At 48.7% G+C, this 24462-nt stretch overlaps 1 protein-coding gene across 14 annotated transcripts in view; it reads left to right on the top strand.

Moving 5' to 3' along the window:
• The first annotated feature begins 477 nt into the window (after positions 1 to 477).
• Positions 478 to 24462, top strand: part of RSPH10B2 (radial spoke head 10 homolog B2) — a 46666-nt gene continuing 22681 nt past the window's right edge. The window contains exons 1-12 of one of the 14 annotated variants that reach the window (XM_006715766.3): positions 2505 to 2655; positions 2835 to 2887; positions 5735 to 5854; positions 5971 to 6309; positions 7462 to 7537; positions 8604 to 8672; positions 12306 to 12479; positions 14084 to 14169; positions 15135 to 15255; positions 16968 to 17144; positions 19910 to 20069; positions 21728 to 21849. In XM_006715766.3, the coding sequence (XP_006715829.1) occupies positions 6056 to 6309; positions 7462 to 7537; positions 8604 to 8672; positions 12306 to 12479; positions 14084 to 14169; positions 15135 to 15255; positions 16968 to 17144; positions 19910 to 20069; positions 21728 to 21849 (1239 nt within the window). In that variant the 5' untranslated portion in view covers positions 2505 to 2655; positions 2835 to 2887; positions 5735 to 5854; positions 5971 to 6055. Of the gene's footprint in view, positions 2888 to 5734; positions 5855 to 5970; positions 6310 to 7461; positions 7538 to 8603; positions 8673 to 12305; positions 12480 to 14083; positions 14170 to 15134; positions 15256 to 16967; positions 17145 to 19909; positions 20070 to 21727; positions 21850 to 24462 lie in introns of those variants that run through there. The other 13 variants (XM_024446908.2, XM_024446904.2, XM_024446906.2 and 10 more) reach the window with 13 other exon arrangements.

Genomic DNA, 24462 nt, shown 5'->3' on the forward strand with positions numbered 1-24462 from the left:
CACATTTTATAAAAATAAGAACACTTGGGCTGGGCATGGTGGCTCATGCCTGTGATCGCAGCACTTTGGGAGGCCGAGGCCGGCAGATCACCTGAGATCAGAAGTTCGAGACCAGCCTGACCAACATGGAGAAACCCTGCCTCTACTAAAAATACAAAATTAGCCAGGTGTGCTGGCGCATGCCTGTAATCCCCGCTACCCAGGAGGCTGAGGCAGGAGAATCGCTTGAACCCGGGAGACGGAGGTTGCAGTGAACCGAGATTGCGCCACTGCGCTCCAGCCTGGGTGAGATAGAGCAAGACTGTGTCTCAAAAAACAAAACAAAACAAAACAAAACAAAAAAAACCAAACCACTTTGGAAGTTACTCAGGCCTCTGCTCTGGCTGGACATAGTTTAGTCTATAACTTTCAACCCTTAACAATAATTAAATTCATCTTTGTTTAATTTCATAAATTTAAAAGTAGGGTCCTTTTCAGTTAGTGATTCTCAGCCCTGATTCACATTAAATTTTTAAACACGGGGGATTCTCTGCCCGGCTGGAAGAAAATGACTGGATGGGACAGGGGTCACTATTTGAAACATTCCTCTGTGCGGCCAAGGTCGCAAAATGCTGTCCTCGCAGGGGAACAAAAAGAGTTTGATTTCCCATAATTTGATGCTGTGATTTGGTTTCCTCAGGATGTGAACTGTAGAACATTCCAGTTACTGGCCTTGAATGGTTCTGGGAATATAAGAATCCCTGTCTGTCTTTTCAAATAGTTTTCATGGAACCTTGTCCTGTTTGAACTTGGCTGAAAATGGAAGTAAAGATGCCCTCTTGGGGGCCCAGAGATGACAGATGTGGCTCCCCCTGCTGCCCCCACCCCTTCTCCAGACTGTGGGCGGCTCCCCTTCCTGCTTTAGAATCCTTCAGATGGAGGAGGCAGTACAGTAGTCACTGTGCCATCGTGTCTGGCACTGTGCTGGCGTGGTCTGCAGGATCCCACTTATGAACTCTCCAGATTGGGAGCTGTGGCAGGATAACAGCCCCCAAGACAGCTGTGTCCTAATCCCCAGAACCTGTGACCACGCTGCCTCACGTGGCAGAAGGGACTCGGCAGGTGTGATTGAGTGAAGGATCTTTTTTTTTTTTTTCTTTGAGATGAAGTTTCGCTCTTGTTGCCCAGGCTGGAGTTCAATAGCATGATCTCAGCTCACTGCAGCCTCTGCCTCCCAGGTTCAAGTGATTCTCCCACCTCAGCCTCCCGAGTAGCTGGGATTACAGGTGTCCAGAACCATACTGGCTAATTTTTGTATTTTTAGTAGAGACAGGGTTTCACCATGTTGACCAGGCTGGTCTCGAACTCCTGACCTCAGGTGATCCGACCGCCTCGGCCTCCCAAAGTGCTGGGATTACAGGTGTGAGCCATCATGCCTGGCTGAGTTAAGGATCTTGCAACAGAGAGATTATCCTGGATTGTCTGGGTGGGCCCAGTCCATTGGGTGAGTCCTTCAAAGGTGGAGACCTTTCCCTGCTGGCCAGAGAGAGGCTGCCTTGCTGGTTTTGGAGATGGAAGGAGGTACCACTAGTCAAGGATTGCAAGCAGTCTCTAGAACAGGGATTCCAACACTCCGGACACAGACCAGTAGTGGTCCATGGCCTATTAGGAAGTGGGGTGCACAGCAGGTTAGGGGCCGGCAAGCCAGCGAAGCTTCATCTGTATTTATAGCCACTCCCCGTCGCTGGCGTTACCACCCGAGCTCCGCCTCCTGTCACATCAGCGGTGGGCATTAGATTCTCATAGCAGCACGAGCCCTATTGTGAACTGCACACACGAGGGATGTAGGTTGCACGCTCCTTATGAGAATCTGATGCCTGATGATCTGTCACTGTCTCCCGTCACCCCCAGATGGGGCTGTCTAGTTGCAGGAAAACAAGCTCAGGGCTCCCACTGAGTCTCTGTGATGGTGAGTTGTAGAATTATTTAATTATATGTTACAATGTAATAATAGTAGAAATAAAGTGCACAATAAATGCAATGCACTTGAATCGTCCTGAAACCATCCCTCCCCGACCCCAATCCATGGAAAAATTGTGTTCCGCGAAACCGGTCTCTGGTGCCAAAAAGGTTGGGGACCGCTTCTGGAAAAGCTGGAAAAGGCAAGAAAACGCATTCTCTCCCTCAGCCTCTGGAAGGAACCAGCACTGTGGGACTAATTTACATACTGTAGGGTAATAAATTTGTGTTGCTTCGAACCACTAAATTTATGGTAATTTGTTTGCGGCAGCAATGGAAAACTAATGCCTGCGTTATTCCTATTTTATGATGAAGCAGTTAGCAGAGCTGGGAAAACCCTGGCCTGCTGCCTCCAGCGTCCAGCCTTTCCCCCGGCCTTCAGGACCAGCAAGGGCGGGACACCTGCTTGGCGCTGGCGCGCGGCCCCTTTAAGAGCACAGGGTGGGCCTGGCGGCGTCCGCGGTTGCCTGGAGACCGGAGCCGGGTCTGGGACGCCGAGAGCCCGGCAACACCTCAGCCCGAGCCCGGCGAGGTCTCTGGGCTCCTGGAGCGAGGTGAGCGCCCCAGGCCGCGGTCCTGCCTACGCCGGGACAGCCATGGCGACTGGGTCCTGCTCCTTCCCGGCCGGACTGACGCGGCCTCCCAGGACCCGAGCACGTGCGTGATGGGCGAGGAGGGCCTAGGCCGGGCAGACCAGTGCAGGGAGCCGATTCTTCTCGGCTCACCGTAGACACAGGAGAGAGATGGCCTCTCCTTAAGCCCAGGAGAACAGAGGAAACATTAGGAAACGCACTGAGAAACGAAATTGGCTTGATTTGTAGTTCACTTATTTGTAGATCACTGACAGAAGACCGAAAAGCTCGTAGTAAAGGCCCCTCTAAATTTAGAGGTGAGAGCACCTTGGGCTAGGGGACCCAGGGGCGGCTTCGCTGAGACAGTAGTCGGGGGCGGGAAGGAGCAAGGGTGTTGGAAGGAAGCGAGAAGGCTTGGCCGGGCGCGGTGGCTCACGCCTGTAACCCCAGCACTTTTGGGAGGCCGAGGCGGGCGGATCACCTGAGGTTAGGAGTTTGAGACCAGCCTGGGCAACATGGTGAAACCCTGGCTCTACTAAAAATACAAAAATTAGCCGGGAGTGGTTGCAGGCACCTGTAATCCCAACTACTTGGGAGGCTAGGGCAGAAGAATCACTTGAACCCGGAAGGTTGCAGTGAGCCAAGACTGTGCCACTGCACTCCAGCCTGGGTGACAGAGCGAGACCCTGTCTCAATAAATAAATAATGGAGGAAGAGAGAAGGCTGGAGATGGGTTCAGCTGGAGGGTGGGGTGTCCAGAGGATGGCATCCAGGAAGAAGAGGGCAAGAAGTGCCCACTGCACCCGTCGGGGCCTACGAAAAGGGACCAGACCTGGCCTTCACCACAGGGCTCACCTATGCATCCTGCCTGATGGACCAGGGTGCTTTCAGCGGGGCCAGATTAGGAAAGCCATGAAAACTATGGCTTTGAAACCCTGCACCGCAGCTCATATGCCAGACAAGCAAAGATATGCGCTGGAAACGGAGCTCGAGCAACGATGCGCTGGAAATACAGCTCAAGCAACCATGCGCTGGAAACGCAACTCCAGCACACCGGTCCTTGCTTGTCCGGCATATGAGAGGCACTCAATCGATGGCAGTGCTAGAGGGAGTGGGAAACCAATGATTTCAAGTTTGAAAACAGGAAAGGGACGAGATAATCACTCAATTTATTGACTTTGCTCTGTATCCTGTACTTAGGGATTTTTCTGTGTGTCATCGGTTTAATTCTTATGAGACAAGGTTCTGTTATTTCTATTTGTGAGGCAGAGGAGATTAAGCAGCTTGCTTCAGAACACAGCACTTGGCCGAGCTCAGTGGCTCATGCCCGCAATCCTAGCACTTTGGGAGGAGAAGGTGGGAAGATTGCTTGAGGCCAGGAGTTTGAAACCAGCCTGGGCAAAATGTACAACACCCCGTCTCAAAAAAAAAAAAAAAAAAAAAAAAAAAAAAAGGAAACCAGCCAGGCACGGTGGCTCACACTTGTTATCCCAGCACTTTGGGAGGCCAAGGCGGGCAGATCACGAGGTCAGGAGTTCGACACCAGCCTGGCCAACACAGTGAAACCCCATCTCTACTAAAAATACAAAAATTAGCTGAGTATGGAGGCAGGTGCCTGTAATCCCAGCTACTCGAGAGGCTGAGGCAGGAGAATCACTTGAACCTGCAGTGAGGTTGCAGTGAGCCAGTGAGCCAAGATCCTGCCACTGCATTCCAACCTGCAGGACAGGGCTAGAGAGTCTGTCTAAAAAAAAAAAAAAAAAACAAACCCAAAAAACACAGAACTGGGCCGGGCACCCACACCCGGTGACTCACGCCTGTAATCCCAGCACTTTGGAGGCCAAGGCGGGCAGATCACGAGGTCAGGAGATCGAGACCATCCTGGCTAACCCGGTGAAACCCCGTCTCTACTAAAAATACAAAAAGAATTAGCCAGGTGTGGTGGTGGGTGCCTGTAGTCCCAGCTACTCAGGAGGCTGAGGCAGGAGAATGGCATGAACCCGGGAGGTGGAGCTTGCAGTGAGCCAAGATCGCACCACCGCACTCCAGCCTGGGCAAGAGAGTGAGACTCCGTCTCAAAAATAAATAAATAAATAAATAAACAAACCCATAGAACTGGTAATGGGCAATGCAGGACTCCGAATCCAGCTCTTGCACACTTTACAATGCTGACCTATAAGGAGAGGGGCTTTTGTTTTGTTTTGTTTTTTTTGAGACAGAATCTTGCTCTGTTGCCGAGGCTAGAGTGCAGTGGTGTGATCTCGGCTCACTGCAACCTCCACCTCCTGGGTTCAAGTGATTCTCCTGCCTCAGCCTCCTGAGTAGCTGGGATTACAGGCATGTGCCACCATGCCTGGCTAATTTTTTGTATTTTTAGTAGAGACGGGGTTTCACAGTGTTAGCCAGGGTGGTCTCAATCTCCTGACCTCGTGATCCACCTGCCTTGGCCTCCCAAAGTGCTGGGACTACAGGTGTGCGCCACTGCATCCGGCCAGAGAGGGGCTTTTAAAGTGTGAATTGGCTGCATGCAAGACCTGAGAGGTGAAGTAGCCTATTTCATGTGTAGGGTTACCTTTCAAGAAACAATGCTAGACAATGGTTCCAACTTAAATAATTTTTGGGGCAAGGTACAGTGGCTCACACCTATAATCCCAGCACTTTGGGAGGCTGAGACAGGCGGATTGCTTGAGCTCAGGAGTTCCAGACCAGCCGGGGCAAGATAGCAAGACCCTGTCTCTACAAAAAATTAGCCAGGTGTGGTAATGCATGCCTGTGGTCCCAGCTACTTGGGAGGCTGAGATGGAAGGATCGTCAGAGCCTAGGAGGTTGAGGCTAGAGTGAGCTGTGATTGTGCCACTGCCCTCCAGCCTGGGTGACAGAGTGAGACTCTGTCTCAAAAATTAAAAATAAAAAAATTTTAGGAACAAGCAATGCGATGTTGAGGTTGTATTTTTATAAACTGATGGTACTTGAAACTTGTAATTATAGTCATTTTTGAGACAGAGTCTTGCTCTGATACCCAGACTGGAGTGCAGTGGTGTGACACTACTCACTGCAGCCTCGACCTCCCAGGCTCAAGCAGTCCTCCCACCTGAGCCTCCCTAGTAGCTGGGACTACAGGCATGTGCCACCACGCCTGGCTAATTTATTTTTATTTTTTGTAGAGAGGTGGCATCTCACTACGTGGCCTAGGCTGATCTCCCTCTCCTGGACTCACATGATCCTCCCACCTTGGCCCTTCAACGTGCTGAGATCGCAGGTGTGAGCCACCACACCCGGCCCTGGTAACTAATTTTTCAGACTTTGTCAGGAGAATGATAATGACATTGTGTTGTAAAACTGAAATTTTAACTACAAATGAAAACCCCAAGTGTTTGGAGACGTAATTTTTATTTTTCAGATAAAACTCATCAGTGCTTTGAAACAAGCAGCTCTGAACCAAAGAAATCATTTGATTCAAGTAACCATTGGATCTTCCCAAGGCAATGGTGAAAGAAAAGAAAAAAGCAGACAAAAAAGGGGAGAAGTCTGCCCGCTCTCCCTCATCTCTCTCTGATAATCTAGACTTTTCCAAACAAGATGGCAACACCACTAGGCAAGAGATGTCCCCAGCTGGTGTCCCATTGCTGGGAATGCAGCTCAACGAAGTGAAACCCAAAAAAGACCGCCAAAACGTTCAGCAGAACGAAGATGCCAGCCAATACGAAGAGTCCATTCTGACCAAACTCATAGTGGAAAGGTGATTTTAATGGGGGTGCCATCGGGTATAACACTGCCAGTCAGGCGGTTTATCTTATTTTATTTTGAGACAGAGTTTCACTCTGTCGTTCAGGCTGGAGTGCAGTGGTGTGATCTTGGCTCACTGCAACCTCCACCTCCCACATTCAAGCAATTCTCCTGCCTCAGCCTCCTGAGTAGCTGGGATTACAGGTGCCCGCCACCATGCCTGGCTAATTTTTGTACTTTTAGTAGAGACAAGGTTTCACCCTGTTGGCCAGGCTGGTCTCGAACTCCTGACCTCAGGTGAGCCACCTGCCTCAGCCTCCCAAAGTGCTGGGATTACAGGCGTAAGCCACTGTGCCTGGCCTGAAGGTAATTTTATGTATTTAAAAAAATTATTTTATTTTAGATTTAGAGGGTTACATGTGCAGGTTTGTTACATGGGCATGTTGTGTGATGCTGAGGTTTGGGCTTCTAGTAAGCCCATCACCCAAATAGCAAACATACAGCCCCATGGCGTGTGTATATATAGAGTTTATTGTGGTGAAACATATAACAAAATGTACTATCTTAATTATTTTAAGTGTACAATTCAATGGCATTAAGTACGTTCATAGTGTTGTACGACCGTCTATTAAATAGTAACTCCTGGCCAGATGCGGTGGTTCAAGCCTGTAATCCCAGCACTTTGGGAGGCTGAGGCGGGCAGATCACTTGAGGCCAGGAGTTTGAGACCAGTCTGGCCAATATGGTGAAACTCCATCTCTACTAAAAACACAATAATTAGCTGGGCGTGGTGACATGTGCCTGTAATCCCAGCTACTCAGGAGGCTGAGGCGGGAGAATCACTTGAACCCGGGAGGCAGAGGTTGCAGTGAGCCAAGATCACGTCATTGCACTCCATCCAGCCCGGGCGACAGAGTGAGACTCCATCTCAAAAAAAATCCCCAAAAAACAAACAAAAAAACCCCGAAATGCCTTCATTCCTCACCCTACTTTCAAACCCCTGGTAACCTCTTCTACTTTCTAGCTCTGTGTATATATATATATATATATATTTTTTTTTTTTCTGACTTCATTCTTCCCATTACATAGTTATATAGTTTAACCCACTGTCACTTGGGTTTATTCACATTGTTCATTACCTTGAATTACCTTTATTTCTTTGTAGCTATGAAGGGGAAAAGGTTCGTGGGCTGTATGAGGGAGAAGGCTTCGCAGCCTTTCAAGGCGGTTGTACCTATCGTGTAAGTTGCCCATTTGAGAACCTGCAGGAAGGGGAGGAAGGTGTGGGGTGATGGTCGTAGATTTGTAAATCTTCAGTAAAATCCACTGATGCTTCAAAAGAAATCGGAAGCTCTTCATGCCGATTTTATTCTGAAACCTGATTACCTATTTAAGGTAAAAATAATGCTCAATATAACAAAAGTTATTTTAGATTTGTTTCTTTTCCTGATTATTTTATATTTTTTGAGACAGGGTCTCACTGTGTCACCCAAGCTGGAGTGCAGTGGCACAATCATAACTCATTGTGGCCTCGACCTCCTGGAGTCAAATGATCCTCCCTCCTCAGCCTCTTGAATAGCTGGGACTACAGGTGTGAGCTAGCACGCCTGGCTAATTTAATTTTTTTTTTTTTTTTTTTGGTAGAGACAAGGAGTTGCTACGTTGCCAGGGCTGGTCTTGAACTGCCGGGCACAAGTTATCCTCCTGCCTCAGACTCCTAAAGTGCTGGGATTGCAGGTGTGAGCCCCCGCACCCGGTTGAGAACACATTTTTGTAGCTGAGGTCATCCTTAGGTCATGAAGATGAGGACCTCTTAGATCCTTTTTAGAGAAGGATGGAGCCCAGCATGGAGGCAGCTCAGAGTAGGACTCACTAGGACTCAGCTGGTGCTGAGTGTGCAGACAAGCATCTTCACGCATGTGAAATCGGGATAAGGCAGTTGTGGGAGAGAATCATCAGCTGCAGGCCAGGCGCGGTGGCTCATGCCTATAATCCCAGCACTTTGGGAGGCCAAGGCGGGCGCATTGCTAGAGCTCAGGATTTCAAGACCAGCCTGGCCAACGTGGTGAAATCCCGTCTCCACAAAAAATACAAAAATTAGCTGGGCATGGTGGTGGATGCCTGTAGTCCCAGCTACTCGGGAGGCTGAAGTGGGAGGATTGCTTGAGCCTGGGAGTTCGAGGCTGCAGTGAGCTATGATCACACCACTGCACTCCAGCCTGGGTGACAGAACCAGACCCTATCTCAAATATGTATATGTGTCAGCTGTATTCTAAGTGTTTGTCGTTGCTTTGTTTTGTTTTGAAGGGTATGTTTTCAGAAGGACTCATGCATGGACAGGGGACTTATATTTGGGCCGATGGATTAAAATATGAGGTGAGGCATATAACCAGTTATAGTTCTAAGCTGTGATTATTGGATGGAACAATCAGTTTCCCACAATTGAACAGACTGTTTTCGTAGATGTCATTCAGCATATGGGTTAAGAAAAATTTGCAGAACCAGAGGATCTAGTAACTCATGACTGCATGGGACCCGCCAGTAATTGTTATTGGTTTCATCTGTGTGTTCTAGAGGTATTCTATGTGTTCTAAGCACAGAGAGCACACATACATGTATGTAGCTTGTCCTACTTTTTTCTTTGAGACAGGGTCTTGCTCTGTTGCCCAGGCTGGAGTATAGTGGTACGATCATAACACTGCAGCCTGGAACTTCTGTAGCCTGTCTTGCTTTTTACAAACACACATAGTTTATTATACACTCTCTTTGGCATATTTACTTAGTTAGTTAGTGAGTCTGAGATGGGGTCTTGCTCTGTCACCCAGGCTGTAGTGCAGTGGTGAGATCATGACTCACTGCAGCCTTGAACTCCTAGGCTCAAGCGATCCTGTTGGCTTAGCCTGCTGAGTAGCTGTGACTAGAGGTGTGCTCCGCAGCACGCGGCTAATTTATTTTTACTTTTTTTTTTTTTTTTTGTAGAGACAGGGTTTGCCATGTTGCCCAGGCTGGTCTCGAACTCCTAAGCTTAAGCGATCCTCCCACCTTGGCCTCCCAAAGTGCTGGGGATTACAGGCGTGAGCCACCACACCTGGCCTGTACCTTTAATTTTGAGATCAAACCATATCCATTCATGTAGATCTGTTTTTAGTGGCTGCATGTATTCCATTATGTGGCTTTTATTTAACCTGTCTTGTGGGGTTGAGGGGAATGTGTATTTTTAAGCTGATTGCAAGGACCAAATTGTTCGCCAAGAGATTGTACCAGGCTCAATTCCCACCCACAAAGTGAGTGAGCACCTGAAATGCTATTCTAAAAATCCCAAATGCAGAGTTGCTAACAGATGGTGTTTATAAATGGTAATGATGACATTTAAAACACATGCGCATAACGCACTTATTCAAATAACACACAGGCAATGATGGAAACGGAGTCAAGTTTGGGCCGGGAAGCCACCTGCAGCTGGGCGGTGAGAGGCATGCTGCAGAGGAGCGGGGAGAGGGAGGGAGGGGCTGACCGTCACTGGCGGGGCAAGGAGGATCTCCAAGTTCCAGGGGAGCCTGAGGATTGGGCCCCCACCTTGGGTTCATGCCAGCTCCCTTCCCACGCGACATCCCGCCTTCTAGCCGGTGGCTGACATGTAAGGTTTCTGGTCTTTATTTTATTTATTTTTGTGGGACAGAGTCTTGCTCTGTCACCCAGGCTGGAGTGCAGCGGCGGGATCTCGGCTCACTGCAACCTCCACCTCCTGGGTTCAAGCAATTCTCCTGCCTCAGCCTCCAGAGTAGCTGGGATTACAGGCGCCCGCCACCACGCCGGGCTACTTTTTGTATTTTTAGTAGAGACGGGCTTTCGCCATGTTGGCCAGGCTGGTCTCAAACCCCTGGCTTCAGGTGATCTGCCCACCTCAGCCTCCCGAAGTGCAGGGATTACAGGTGTGAGCCACCGCACTGGGCCAGTTTCTGGTCCTTAAGTGACAACTTACCAAGAACCGCCCTGTGCCTCGTTGTCTCGGGAAACTCCCGGCAGGGGGGGAGGTCATTTTTGCAGGCACAGACCCCCACTCCAGCCCAGTCAGGGGGGCTTCTGGGCAGGACTCGGGGGGCTCCTAGAAGCATTCTCAGAGGCCGACTGGCCTCATGGGTCCTGGCTGGTGATCAGGCCACGGCGTGCTGTCCTCTTTTCTCTGCTGCTGTGGCTGCCTCCAGGGAGTTCAGGTTCCTGGAAGAGAATCCGATGCTGCTGGGTGCTGTGCACTGTGCTGCCTGCTGCCCACTCAGGCGTCCTGGGCAGAGCGCGTTCCCTGGCAGGTGCCCCTGGGGCAGGCTGTTGGCTGATTTGTTTACAGACTATTTTGATGACCGTGGCAGAAAGAGGGATTTCCTGACCGGGCATGGTGGCTCACGCCTGTAATCCCAATACTTTGGGAGGCCAAGGTGGGCAGATCATCTGAGGTCAGGAGTTCAAGACCAGCCTGGCCAATATGGTGAAATCCTGTCTCTACTAAAACTACAAAAATTTGCGGGGCATGGTGGTGCACACCTGTGATCCCAGCTACTCGGAAAGCTGAGGCAGGAGAATTGCTTAAACCTGGGAGGCGGAGGTTGCAGTGAGCCGAGACTACACCATTACACTCCAGCCTGGGGAACAAGAGCAAAACTCCATCTTGAAAAAAAAAGGAAAAAGAAAGAGGGATGTCCCCAGTCATCACTAAGCCTTGGAGGGAACAGTGAATTCACCTCCTTCGAGCGGGTTATTTTTTTTTTCATTAGAGACAGGATCTTGCTCTGTCGCCCAGGCTGGAATGCAGTGGTCATAGTTCACTGCAGCCTCAACCTCCTGGGCTCAACAGATCCTCTCACGTCAGCACCCCCAAAGTGCTGGGATTATAGGCGTGCACCACTGCACCTTGGTGGCCAGCACCTGTAGTCCCAGCTACTTGGGAGGCCAAGGTGGGAAGATCACTTGAGGCTGGGAGTTTGAGACCAGACCAGCCTGGGCAACATAGAGAAACTCCATCTCCACAAAAAATTTAAAAAGTAGTGAGGCTTGGTGGCACACACACTTGTAGTCTCAGCTACTTGGGGGGCTGTGGTGGGAGGATCTCTTGAGCCTGGGAGGTCGAGGCTGCAGTGAGCTATGATTGTGCCGCTGCACTCCAACCTAGGTGACAGGGTGAGACCCTGTCTCAAAAAAACAAAAAAACAACAACAAAAAATCCACAAAAACTAGGCATGATGGCTCATGCCTGTTAAATGCCTGTTAATCTCAGCACTTTGGGAAGCCGAGGCAGGTGGATCACCTCAGGTCAGGAGTTCGAGACCAGCCTGGCCAACATGGCAAAACCCCGTCTCTCCTAAAAATACAAAAAAAATTAGCAGGGTGTGATGATGGGTGCCTGTAATCCCAGCTACTTGGGAGGCTGAGGCAGGAGAACTGCTTGAACCTGGGAGGCAGAGGTTGCAGTGAGCCGAGATGGCGCCATTGCACTACAGCCTGGGCGACAGAGTGAGACTCTGTCTCAAAAATAAAAACAAAAATAAAATCTTTTTCTAGAGACAGGGTCTTCCTAGGTTGCCCAGACTGGCCTCAAATTCCCGGCCTCAAGCAGTCCTCCCGCCTCAGTCTCCCAAAGTGCTGTGATTACAAGTGTGAGCCACTGCACCTTGCCAAGGTGGGTTCTAAGAATCTGAAGTTCCCCAGGTCAGGATTGGAAGCCAGCACTTTCCAACATCACCTGCTTGTTTCTTCGAACTTGGTCAACCTGCAACCTCCCAGATATTTCCTCCTGCCTGAGCTTCCGCCCACTGGTCGGGTCAGATGAGAGAGGATGCGATGAGAGCAGACAAGGAAGGAAGAGAGAGAGTGTGAGGGGGATGTTCAGTGTGTCCACAGGAGAGGCAAGAACAGAATCAGAGGTCAAGCAGCTCCTGGAACCGCCCGCAGGACTAGGGATTCCCGCCCCCACCCCCCAACGCTTCCTTCTGTCACCCCATGGCCGTTCTGCTTCAGGGCGACTTTGTGAAGAATGTCCCGATGAACCACGGCGTGTACACGTGGCCGGACGGCAGCATGTATGAAGGCGAAGTGGTCAACGGCATGAGGAACGGATTCGGGATGTTCAAGTGCAGCACCCAGCCTGTGTCCTACATCGGCCACTGGTGCAATGGCAAGCGGCACGGGAAGGTGGGCGAGGTGGCCACGTGGAGGGCAGGTGGGGCAGGAGTGAAGGGGGTGGGCGGACATGGGGGGGGCAGCCATGAGGGGGCAAGGTCGGGGGGGTCGGGGGGGCAGAAAGGGGGTGGGGTGGCCATGTGGAGGGCAGGGGAGGGGCTGGGTGGCCACATGGAGGGAGAGAAGGGGGTAGGGGCTAGCGGCGCTGTCCAGGGCATATTCACTTTTTGTTTATTGAGGCGAAATTCACATCACATAAATTAACCATTTTATTAATTTTTTTTTTTTTGAGATGGAGTCTTGCTCTGTCGCCCAGGCGGGAGTGCAATGGTGCCATCTCAGCTCACTGCAACCTCTGCCTCCCGGGTTCAAGCAAATCTCCTGCCTCAGCCTCCCAGGTTGCTGGGACTACAGGTGTGCACCACCACGCCCAGCTAATTTTTGTATTTTTAGTAGAGATGGGGTTTCGCCATGTTGGCCAGGGTGGTCTTGAACTCCTGATCCCAAGTGATCCACCCACCTCAGCCTCCCAAAGTGCTGGGATTACAGGCGTGAGCCACACTGTGCCTGGCCGTATGCATGCTTTAATAGGCTATTTATTGAGTTGTGTTGTTGTTGTTGTGTGTGTGTGTGTGTGTGTGTGTGTGTGTTTTACAGCAGATTGCTTGAGACATATTGGAGGGATTGGGGGTGGTGACTTCTAGACAGCAGCATCTGCATGGCTGCAAGAAGGAATGAGTTTGCCTGATCATGAGAAAGAAGATAGAAAAATTCTCTCTCACACACACAGATAAACCTGTGAAAAAGCCTTTTGAGGCTTTTCTATGTAGATCAAACAAAGGGTACTCTATGCTCACTTATACTCGGAGGCGGTAAAATGAGTAGCATGTCCAAATGGGTAAAACAACAGTGGATCTGGTGCCTAAGAGAGAGTGACCTTCCGTTACATGGAAGGCGCAACTGTTCACTCCAGGTGGCAACAGACAGGATTTCTCTAGGTACTTAATTGACTAATAGTTACTGGATAGAATGAATATACTCGAATATGATGAATACAGTCATTCTGTGCCTTAATGTGATACTTTTTATTTTATTTTATTTTGAGATGGAGTCTTGCTCTGTTGCCCAGGCTGGAGTGCAGTGGCACGATCTGGGCTCACTGCAACCTCTGCCTCCCAGGTTCAAGCGATTATCCTGCCTCAGCCTCCCAAGTAGCTGGGATTACAGGCACGCTCCACCACTCCTAGCTAATTTTTGTGTTTTTAGTAGAGACGGGGTTTCACCGTGTTGGCCAGGCTGGTCTTGAACTCATGACCTTGTGATCCGCCCACCTCGGCCTCCCAAAGTGCTGGGATTACAGACGTGAGCCACCGTGCCTGGCCAATATGGCACTTTATTAAGGAGCAATTGATTTGTGACATTATCTCATTTCCCTTTGTGCAGCAGTTTTACCATTTTCTTGATAGCAAAACAGAAAAATAGCAGTTTACATGTCTTGCCTATGTATGACATTGACCTCTGTGTAGGTTCTACTTTTCAAGTTAATATCCTTACATTTGACAAAGCATTTGTGTCATGAGGCTTGATAGTTTTAAAGATGACATTATTTGTTTCAGGGCTCCATTTATTACAATCAAGAGGGTACGTGTTGGTACGAGGGAGACTGGGTACAAAACATCAAAAAGGGCTGGGGAATAAGATGGTAGGTATGACCACTGCCGCGCTTGGGGTGTAGATGAAGAAGGGTTTGTGGGCCCAATAGCGTTCACCTCGGATATTTAAAAGTAAGATGCAAAAGTTGCATGGAACATTTTCTCTCTAAGCAGAGTGGATTTTTTCTCTTTTCTTTGAGACGGAGTCTTGTTCTGTCACCCAGGCTGGAGTGCAGTGGTGCCATCTCAGCTCACTTCAACCTCTGCCTTCTGGGTTCAAGCAATTCTCCTGCCATGATCACACCACTGCTCTCCAGCCTTGGTGACACAGTGAGATCTCATCTCAAAAACTGGCCAAATATTCACTAATCATGATACAATAGGGAATTATTAAAAAATTTTAAAAACCCGGCTCTTACCCACTTTGTCCCCTTATTAAATAGTCAGAAGATTTAATAAAGTGACTCATTCTGCTCCCTTAGGACCATGAGCCTATCCATTGATTTTTTAAAAATTTTATTTATTTATTTTTTAGACAGTCTCGCTCTGTTGCCCAGGCTAGAGTGCAGTGGCATGATCTCGGCTCATTGCAACCTGCACCTTCTGAGTTCAAGTGATTCTCCTGCCTCAGCCTCCTGAATAGCTGGGATTACAGGTGCCTGCCACCATGTCCGGCTAATTTTTGCATTTTTTTTTTTCTTTTGAGATGGAGTTTTGCCTCCCAAGTAGCTGGGCTAATTTTTTATTTTTAGTAGAGATGGAGTTTCTCCATGTTGGTCAGGCTGGTCTCAAACTCCCAACCTCAGGTGATCCTCCAGCCTCGGCCTCCCAAAGTGCTGGGATTACAGGCGTGAGCCACCACGCCTGGCCTGAATTTAAATACAGAGAAGATTGTATAAGTACAAGGGGTGGATTTCTTCAAAGGAGCTCAAGGGGAGTGTTTAAAAGAATGTCTTAAAGGTAAATGTTGTGTAGGAGGTAACTGATTGTTTTTCTTTGGTTTCTTTCATCCTAGTTATAAATCTGGAAATATATACGAAGGCCAGTGGGAAGACAACATGCGCCACGGGGAGGGGAGGATGAGGTGGCTGACCACCAACGAAGAGTACACCGGGCGGTGGGAGAGGGGCATCCAGGTACGCCCGGGCGGGGTAGCAGCTTATACCCAGAGGCGGATGCTCCGCCGATTCTCAACACATGTATATTTCTTTTTGGGTTTTGTTTTTGTTTTTGTTTTGAGACAGAGTCTCTCTCTGTCTGTCTCCCAGGCTGGAGTGCACTGGCGCAATCTTGGCTCACTGCAGCCTCCACCTCCCGGGTTCAAGCAATTCTCCTGCCTCAGCCTCTGGAGTAGCTGAGATTACAGGTACCCACCACCACCACGGCCGGGCTAATTGTTTTTTTTGTATTTTTAGTAGAGACGGGGTTTCACCATGTTGGCCAGGTTGGTTTCGAACTCCGGACCTCAAGTGATCCGCGCGCCTCAGCCTCCTAAAGTGCTGCGATTACAGGCGTGAGCCACCACACCCAGCCTGTTTGTTTGTTTTTAGAGACAGAGTCTTGCTCTGTTGCCCAGGCTGGAGTGCGGTGGCAGGATCTCAGCTCACTGCAGCCTCCACCTCCTGGGTTCAAGCAATTCTCCTGCCTCAGCCTCTGGAGTAGCTGAGATTACAGGCACCCACCACCATGGCCCGGCTAATTTTTTTTTTTTTTTGTATTTTCAGTAGAGACGGGGTTTCACCATGTTGGCCAGACTGGTTTCGAACTCCTGACCTCAAGTGATCCACCTGCCTCGGCTTCCCAGAGTGCTAGGATTACAGGCGTAAGCCACAGCGCCCAGCGTGTTCGTTTGTTTTTAGAGACAGAGTCTTGCTCTGTTGCCCAGGCTGGACTGCAGTTGTGCAATCAGGGCTCTCTACCTCCTTGGCTCAAGCGATCCTCCCACCTCAGCCTCCCCTGTAGCTGAGACTACAGAGGTGCCCACTGCCACCATGCCTGGCTAACTAAAAAAATAATTTTTTTTTTTTTAGAAACGAGGTCTCACTTTATCACACAGGCTGGTCTTGAACTCTGAGGCTCAAGTGATCCTTCCATCTCTGCCTCTCAAAGCGTTGGGATTACAGGCATGAGGCACAGCACCCAGCCCAACTGGTATCTTTAAAAAATAAAAATTTAGGCTGGGCTCAGTGGCTCACACGTGTAATCCCAGCACTTTGGGAGACCACCTGAGGATTGAGGCCAGGAGTTTGAGACCAGCCTGGGTGATATGGTGAAACCCCATCTCTACTAAAAATATAAAAATTAGCCGGGAGTGGTCTCTGGTGCCTGTAGTCCTGGCTACTTGGGAGGCTGAGGATCACTTGAGTCTTGGAGGTTGAGGCTGCAGTGAGCCAAGATTGTGCCATACTCTAGCCTGGGTAACAGAGTGAGACCCTTTCTCAAAAAATAAAAATATATAAAAGCAAATAAACCCCAACATTTAAAATAACAATGAAAATCTTCACGATCAAGCCAGGCACTTTATGTACACTTATCTTCACTTTTTAGTAGAGATGGGGTTTCAACATGTTGGCCAGGCTGGTTTCAAACTGCTTTATATCTAACCTGAGGGGTAGGTGTCATTTCTGTTTTACAGACGAGGAACTTAGAGGGCTTAAGTGATCTGCCTTATTTCAAAAGACTCCTTAGTAAGTAGCTGAGCTGAAATTGAACCCAAGTCTGTGTGACTCCAGAGTCCAAGTTCTTTGCCCTTTCCAGTTTTCATTGTATTTATCCTAATTTTAAGGGGATCCGGGTAAAGAGAGAAACTGCTTTGTGCATTTCTGATGGCAGTGTGCTTTCTTTTCAGAATGGCTTTGGAACACACACATGGTTTCTAAAGAGAATCCGCAGTTCCCAGTATCCTTTGAGAAATGAATACATAGGGGAGTTTGTAAATGGATATCGTCACGGACGTGGCAAGTTTTATTATGCCAGTGGAGCCATGTATGATGGAGAATGGGTTTCCAATAAGAAACATGGCATGGTGAGTATAGACCTGGGAGGATCACATTTCAAACAATTATGTAAAGCCATTGAAATTATGTAAAGCAATTGAAATGTCCAAGGATAATTGCAGATTTGTCTATTCTGCTTTCAGATCTATCAGTTTTGATTCAAATATTTGAAGCTTTGTTAGGTGCATATACATTGAGGATTATTCTGTATTGGTGCATTGGCTCTTTTGATCATCACGTAATGTTCCTCATTAACCCTGCTACTTTTCTTTTTTTTTTTTTTTTGAGATGCAGTCTTGCTCTGTTGTCCAGGTTGGAGTACAGTGGCATGATCTCAGCTCACTACAACCTCTGCTTCCCGGGTTCAAGTGATTCTCCTGTCTCAGCCTCATGAGTAGCTGGGATTACAGGCGTCGGCTACCATGCCTGGCTAATTTTTGTATTTTTAGTAGAGACAGGGTTTCGTCATGTTGGCCAGGCTGGTCTCGAACTCCTGACCTCAGGTGATCCACCCTCCTTGGCCTCCCAGAGTGCTGGGATTACAGGCGTGAGCCACCACGCCTGGCCAACCCTGGTAATTTTCATTTCTCTGAAGTCTATTTTGTCTGATGTAAATATAGGCGCTCTAGATTTCTTTTTAATTTTAATTGTGGTAGAGTACACATGAGATTTCCCATCTTAACCATTTCTGAGTGCACAGTCCAGTGGCATTAAGCACATGCGCATTGTTGCGCAACCATCACCATCCATCTACAGAACTCTTTTTGACAAAAGGCATGTCATTCTCGATTAAATTACATTATCTGTTTTGTATAGGATGACTTACTGTTTTGCTAAGGTGATTACATGACTTTTTTTTTCTTTTTTTTGAGACAGAGTTTCGCTCTGTTGCCCAGGCTGGAGTGCAGTGGCATGATCTCAGCTCGCTGCAACCTCTGCCTCCCGGGCACAAGTGATTCTTGTGCCTCAGCCACTAGAGTAGCTGGGATTACAGGTGTGCGCCACCACGCCCGGCTCTTTTTTTTTTTTTTTTTTTTTTTTAGTAGTTACAGGGGTTTTGCCGTGTTTGCCAAGCTGGCCTCCTGGTCTCAAGTGATCCTCCCACCCAAAGTGCTGGGATTACAGGCATGAGCCACTATGCTTGCCAAAATAGTTTCAATGGTCATTGATTTCCTATATATTTAGTGGTTATTTAATCAGTGTTTGGTGTGTGTGTACGTGTGTGTGTGTGTATGAGGATGGTTTTGGTTTGCAAGTAACAGAGAATCTAGTGTCGTCTGCCATGTGAAATACAGAATAATGGTTTGATTCAGCAACTCAGAGCTGTCAGGATTTCTCCTCCATCTATCCACGATATCTCCCACCATGTCACTTTCACCCTTGTGTTTTTTCCTCCCTCATGATTGCAAGACAGCTGCTGTGGTTCCAGCCTTCACATCCACATACCATGCTAACTAGAAGAAAAGGAGGAACTTTTTACAGAAGCTCTCTAAAAAGGTCTTTCATTTCACAGAGCCAAATTGGGTCATTTGCCCACTTCTGAATCAGTAACTGACTATTGGCCTGGGTTTGACAAATCTCAGGGAGTCTTGGCCAGGCTTAGTGGCTCAGGCCTGTAATCCCAGCACTTTGGAAGGCCGAGGTGGGCAGAACACTTGAGGTCAGGAATTCGAGACCAGCTTGGCCAACATGATGAAACCCCGTCTCTACTAAAAATACAAAAATTAGCTGGGTGTGGTGGTGCACGCATGTAATCCCAGCCACTCGGGAGGCTGAGGAAGGAGAATTGCTTGAACCCAGGAGGCGGAGGTTGCAGTGAGTTAAGACTGTGCTACTGCACTCCAGCCTGAGTGACAGCGAGGCTCCACCTCAAAAAAAAAAAAAATTGTGGGGCACGATGGCTCACGCCTGTAATCCCAACACTTTTGGAGGCTGAGGCGGATGGATCACGAGGTCAGGAGATCGAGACCATCCTGGCTAACATGGTGAAACCCTGTCTCTACTAAAAATACAAAAAATTAGCTGGGTGTGGTGGCGGGCGCCTGTAGTCCCAGCTACTCAGGAGGCTGAGGCAGGAGAATGGTGTGAACCCAGGAGGCAGAACTTGCGGTGAGCCGAGATCGTGCCACTGCACTCCAGCCTGGGCACAGAGCGAGACTCCGTCTCAAAAAAAAAATCAGGGAGTCTGTATTGTGTGATGGGCGTTCTGCTGGTCACTAGCGTAGTTTAATAAGACACATTCTGTGGCCATAGGTGCTTAAAGTTGGAGAAAGATTGTTGGGGAGAGAGAGAGGGGAGGGGGAGGAATAGGAAAAGGAGGACGAGAGAGAGGACTTATACAGTGCATGAGACCCAGGAGCCTGATTATGTGTAGAGTAAGTGCATATTTTCAAAACGAAAAGCTCCACACCCTTGAAAAAACTATTGATGTACATTTACCCATGTTTTTCTTTCCTTTTTTTTTTTTTTTGAGATGGAGTCTCGCTCTGTCACCTAGGCTGGAGTGCAGTGGCACGATCTTGGCTCACTGCAACCTCTGCCTCCCAGGTTCAAGCGATTCTCCTGCCTCAGCCTCCCGAGTAACTGGGATTACATGTGCCTGCCACCAGGCCCGGCTAATTTTTGTATTTTTAGTAGCGATGGGGTTTCACCATGTTGGCCAGTCTGATCTCGAACTCCTGACCTTGTGATCTGCCCGCCTCAGCCTTCCAGAGTGCTGGGATTACAGGCATGAGTCACCGCCCCCAGCCTTACCAGTGTTTTTCTAAGAAATCTTTTCCTAAACTGTAAAAAGTTTTTCTGTCTGCAGGGCCGATTAACTTTCAAGAACGGGCGTGTGTACGAAGGCGCATTCTCCAATGACCACATAGCTGGGTTTCCGGATCTTGAAGTTGAATTCATCAGCTGCCTGGACCTGTCTTCAGGAGTTGCCCCAAGACTGTCCAGGAGCGCCGGTAGGAAGCATTCACCTGTTGAAATAAAATTCATTGGCCGGGCGTGGTGGCTCATGCCTGTAATCCCAGCGCTTTGGGAGGCCGAGGCCGGCGGATCACGAGGTCAGCAGTGCGAGACCAGCCTGGCCAACATGGTGAAACCCCGTCTCAATTAAAAATAAAAAAAAATTAGCCAGGCGTGGTGGCAGGCGCCTGTAATCGCAGCTACTCAGGAGGCTGAGGCAGGAGAATCGCTTGAACCCGGGAGGCAGAGATTGCAGTGAGCCCAGACTGCACCATTGCACTCCAGCCTGGGCCACAGAGAAAGACTCCGTCTGGTAAATAAATAAAATGGAAAAAAAAAAAGAAATAAAATTCATCTGTTTTTATCCATGGTGTTCACTCATGAAAATACACCGAACACTTCAGGAAACAGAAGTCCTCTGTGAGCAACTCCTTTTTTAAAAAAAAATTTTAGACAAAATCTCGCTCTATCACCCAGGATGGAGCAGGATACGATCACTGTTCACTGTGGCCTCAAACTCCTGGGCTCCAGTGATCCTCCCACCTCAGCCTTCCCCATAGCTGGGAATACAGGCACACACCACCAAGCCTAGCTAATTTTTTTTTTCTTTTTGAGACGGAGTCTCACTCTGTCGCCCAGCCTGGAGTGCAGCAGTGTAATCTTGGCTCACTGCAATCTCCGCCTCCCGGGTTCAAGAGATTCTGCTGCCTCAGCCTCCTGAGTAGCTGGGATTATAGGCGTGTGCCACCATGCTTAGCTAATTTTTGTATTTTTTGTAGAGACGGGGTTTTACCATGTTGCTCAGGTTGGTCTCTAACTCCTGACCTCGTGATCCACCCACCTTGGCCTCCCAAAGTGCTGGGATTACAGGTGTGAGCCAGCACACCTGGCCAGGCTTAGCTAATTTTTAAACTTTTTGTAGAGGCAGGGTCTCACTATGTTGCCCAGGCTGATTCAAACTCCTGTCCTCACACAATCCTCCTGCCTCGGCCTCCCAAAGTGCTGAGATTACAGCTGCAAGCCATTGTGCCTAGCTGGCAACTGCTTTTAAAAAATGTTTTTTTTAGAGACAGGATCTCACTCTGTTGCCCAGGTTGGAGTGCAGTGGCGTGATCATAGCTCACTGCAGCCTTAACCTCTCATTTTGGCTTCCCAAAGTGCTGGGATTAAAGGCATGAGCCACTGTGCCCAGCCTGTGTTCTTAGTAGGTTTTTGGAATATTCTTGTATCCCATTTTGGTGGAAAATCTTTGTGACATAATACTGAGAAATTTGAACATTGCTTTTCATAATTATCTCCAAGGATGGGTGTGGTGGCCCATGCCTGTGATCCCAGCACTTTGGGAGGCCAAGGCAGGCGGATCAGTTGAGCTCAGGAGTTCGAGACCAGCCTGGGCAACATGGTGAAACCCTGTGTCTACAAAAAAATACAAAAATTAGCTGGCCGTTGTGGTGTACTTCTGTAGTCCCAGCTACTCGGGAGGGTGAGGTGGGAGGATGGCTTGAGCCTGGGAGGCAGAGGTTGCAGTGAACTGAGATCATGCCACTGCACTCCAGCTTGGGCGACAGAGTGAGGCCCTGTCTCAAAAAAAAAAAAAAAACAAACCCCACCAAACAAACCGTACTTATCCCCTGTGTTTGCCTTCATTCATTAGAACTGATCAGAAAGCTTGATGGCAGTGAAAGTCATTCTGTGTTGGGATCGAGCATTGAGCTGGATCTAAATTTGCTCCTGGACATGTACCCTGAGACAGTCCAACCTGAAGAAAAGAAGCAGGTAAAATCTTTTTGATTGGTATGAGTTGCATCCTGGGAAAATATAGCTGGTGACTGCTGTCACGTGTTGAATGTCTTCTTTTTTGTTTTGTTTTTTGAGACCGAGTTTTGCTCTGTCGCCCAGGCTGGAGTGCTGTGGCGCAGTCTTGGCTCACTGCAACCTCTGCCTCCCGGGTTCAAGCCTCCCCCACCTCAGCCTCCCCAGTAGCTGGGATTACAGGTGTGGGCCACTACGCCCGGCTATTTTTTTGTATTTTAGTTGAGACGGGGTTTCACCATATTGGCCTGGCTGGTCTGGAACTCCTGACCTCAGGTGATTGGCCCACCTCGGCCTCCCAAAATACTGGGATTATGGGTGTGAGCCACCACACCCGGCCTAGAACAATGCTTTAGATTGTATGTGTTTATTCAGTTGAATTGCGTTTTCAAAAGCAGGAATGAATGCTCAGCGTAACAAATGCCTGAAGCCGCCCAGGTAGGGCTCTGTCTCCCTTAGGACCCTGCATCCTGTTCTTCGCATTCTCTGAATGTCTCATTATGAGGGTAGGGCATGGGGTGAGTGGTTCTGGAGAACAGGACGCTGTGTAGAGGGCAGGGCTGCATGTGTGGGGAATCTGGGGCAGCTTAAGGGCGTCAAGGTCTGGGGAAAAATCCTAAAAGGTGAAGTGTGACAGAGGGAGGTGAGTAAAGCAACCACCGTGAATATTGCTCCTTTTTTTTTTTTTTGAGACGGAGTCCCTTTTGTCGCCCGGGCTGGAGTGCAATGGCATGATCTCAGCTCACTGCAACCTCCGCCTCCCGCGTTCAAGGGATTCTCCTGCCTCAGCCTCCTGAGTAGCTGGGATTACAGGCATGCACCACCACCCCCAGCTATATTTTGTATTTTTAGTAGAGATGGAGTTTCACTGTGTTGCCCAGGCTGGTCTCGAACTCCTGACCTCAGGTGATCCTTCCACCTCAGCCTCCCAAAGTGCTGGGATTACAGGCATGAGCCACTGCACCTGGCGGAATATTGCTTCTTTCAGACTTTCAGCCCTATGTGTGGTGTGAGTTGCATGTGTTTTGTACATGCTGTTTATCAGGTTGAGGGATTCCTTTCTATTCCTAATTTGCTGAGGGTGCTTTTCATGAATGGATGTGAAATTCTGTGAAACGCTTCAGTTGTTAGAATCATTTGGTTCTTCCTCAGTCTGTGAATTACATTGATTGATTTTTCAAATGTTAACCCAGCTTTGCAATTCTAGGAGAAACCCTACTTGGTGCTGCTATATTATCTTTTTTTTTGTTTTTTTTTTTTTCTTGTTGAGATAGGGTCTTAGGGTCTTGCTCCGTCACCTTGGCTGGAGTGAAGTGGTGCGATCTCAGCTCACTGCAGTCTTGACCTTCTGGGCTTAAGCAATCCTCCCGCCTCAGCTTCCTGAGTAGCTGGGACTATACGGGCACTTGCTACTGTGTCTGGTTCTTTTTTTCTTTTTTTGAGAGGGAGTCTTGCTCTGTCGCCCAGGCTGGAGTGCAGTAGCACGATCTCTGCTCACTGCAAGCTCCACCTCCCGGGTTCACGCCATTCTCCTGCCTCAGCCTCCCGAGTAGCTGGGTCTACACCACGCCCGGCTAATTTTTTGTATTTTTAGTAGAGACAGGGTTTCACCGTGTTAGCCAGGATGGTCTCGATCTCCTGATCTTGTGATCCGCCTGCCTTGATCTCCTGAAGTGCTGGGATTACAGGCTTGAGCCACCACGCCCGGCCAGTTAATTTCTTTAATTTTTAATTTTCAGTTGAGACACAGTCTTACTATGTTGCACAGGCTGGTCTCGAGTTCCCAGGCTCAAGCGATCCTCCCGCCTCGGCCTCACAAAGTGCTGGGATGACAGGCATGAGCCACCATGCATGGCTACTATTCTTTTTATATATTGCTGGATTCAACTTATTTTGTTGAGGATTTTTGCACATTTGTTGATGAAGGATAAGGATCTGCAGACAATAGAATTTTGTTGCCGCCACTGAGAGGGGAAGCCAGCCCATTGCCATGTGAAAGGAAGTCTACTTTCCAGATAACTTGTTTTGTTTTGTTTTTACTGTTGGTCGGAGATGGCATTTTATTGACCAAGGGGGGTGGGTGGAAAGAATAAAATGCTTCTTGGCCAGGTGCCGTGGCTGACGCCTGTCATCGTAACACTATGGGAGGCCGAGGCAGGCGGATCACCTGAGGTCAGGAGTTCAAGACCAGACTGGCCAATATGGTGAAACCCCATCTCTACCAAAAATACAAAAATTAGCCGGGCATGGTGGTGGGCACCTGTTATCACAGCTACTCTGGAGGCTGAGGCATGAGAATCACCTGAACCCAGGAGGCAGAGGTTGCATTGAGCCAAGATCGTGCCACTGCACTGCAGCCTGGGTGACAGAGCAAGACTCCATCTCAAAACAAAACAAACAAACACTTCTTAAGTTCTTACAGTGGAAAGAGCTAAATGCCATTACTTTACTTGTATTATCGCATTTAATGTAGGACACAGGTGTTGTGTCTTTTGTTCTTTTTAAAATATTTAAATTTTCTTTCTTTATTTTGAGGCAAGGTCTCACTCTTGACGCCCAGGCTGGAATGCAGTGACA

Source organism: Homo sapiens, chromosome 7 (genome assembly GCF_000001405.40).
Source record: "Homo sapiens chromosome 7, GRCh38.p14 Primary Assembly".
Classification (NCBI taxonomy): Eukaryota; Metazoa; Chordata; class Mammalia; order Primates; family Hominidae; genus Homo; species Homo sapiens.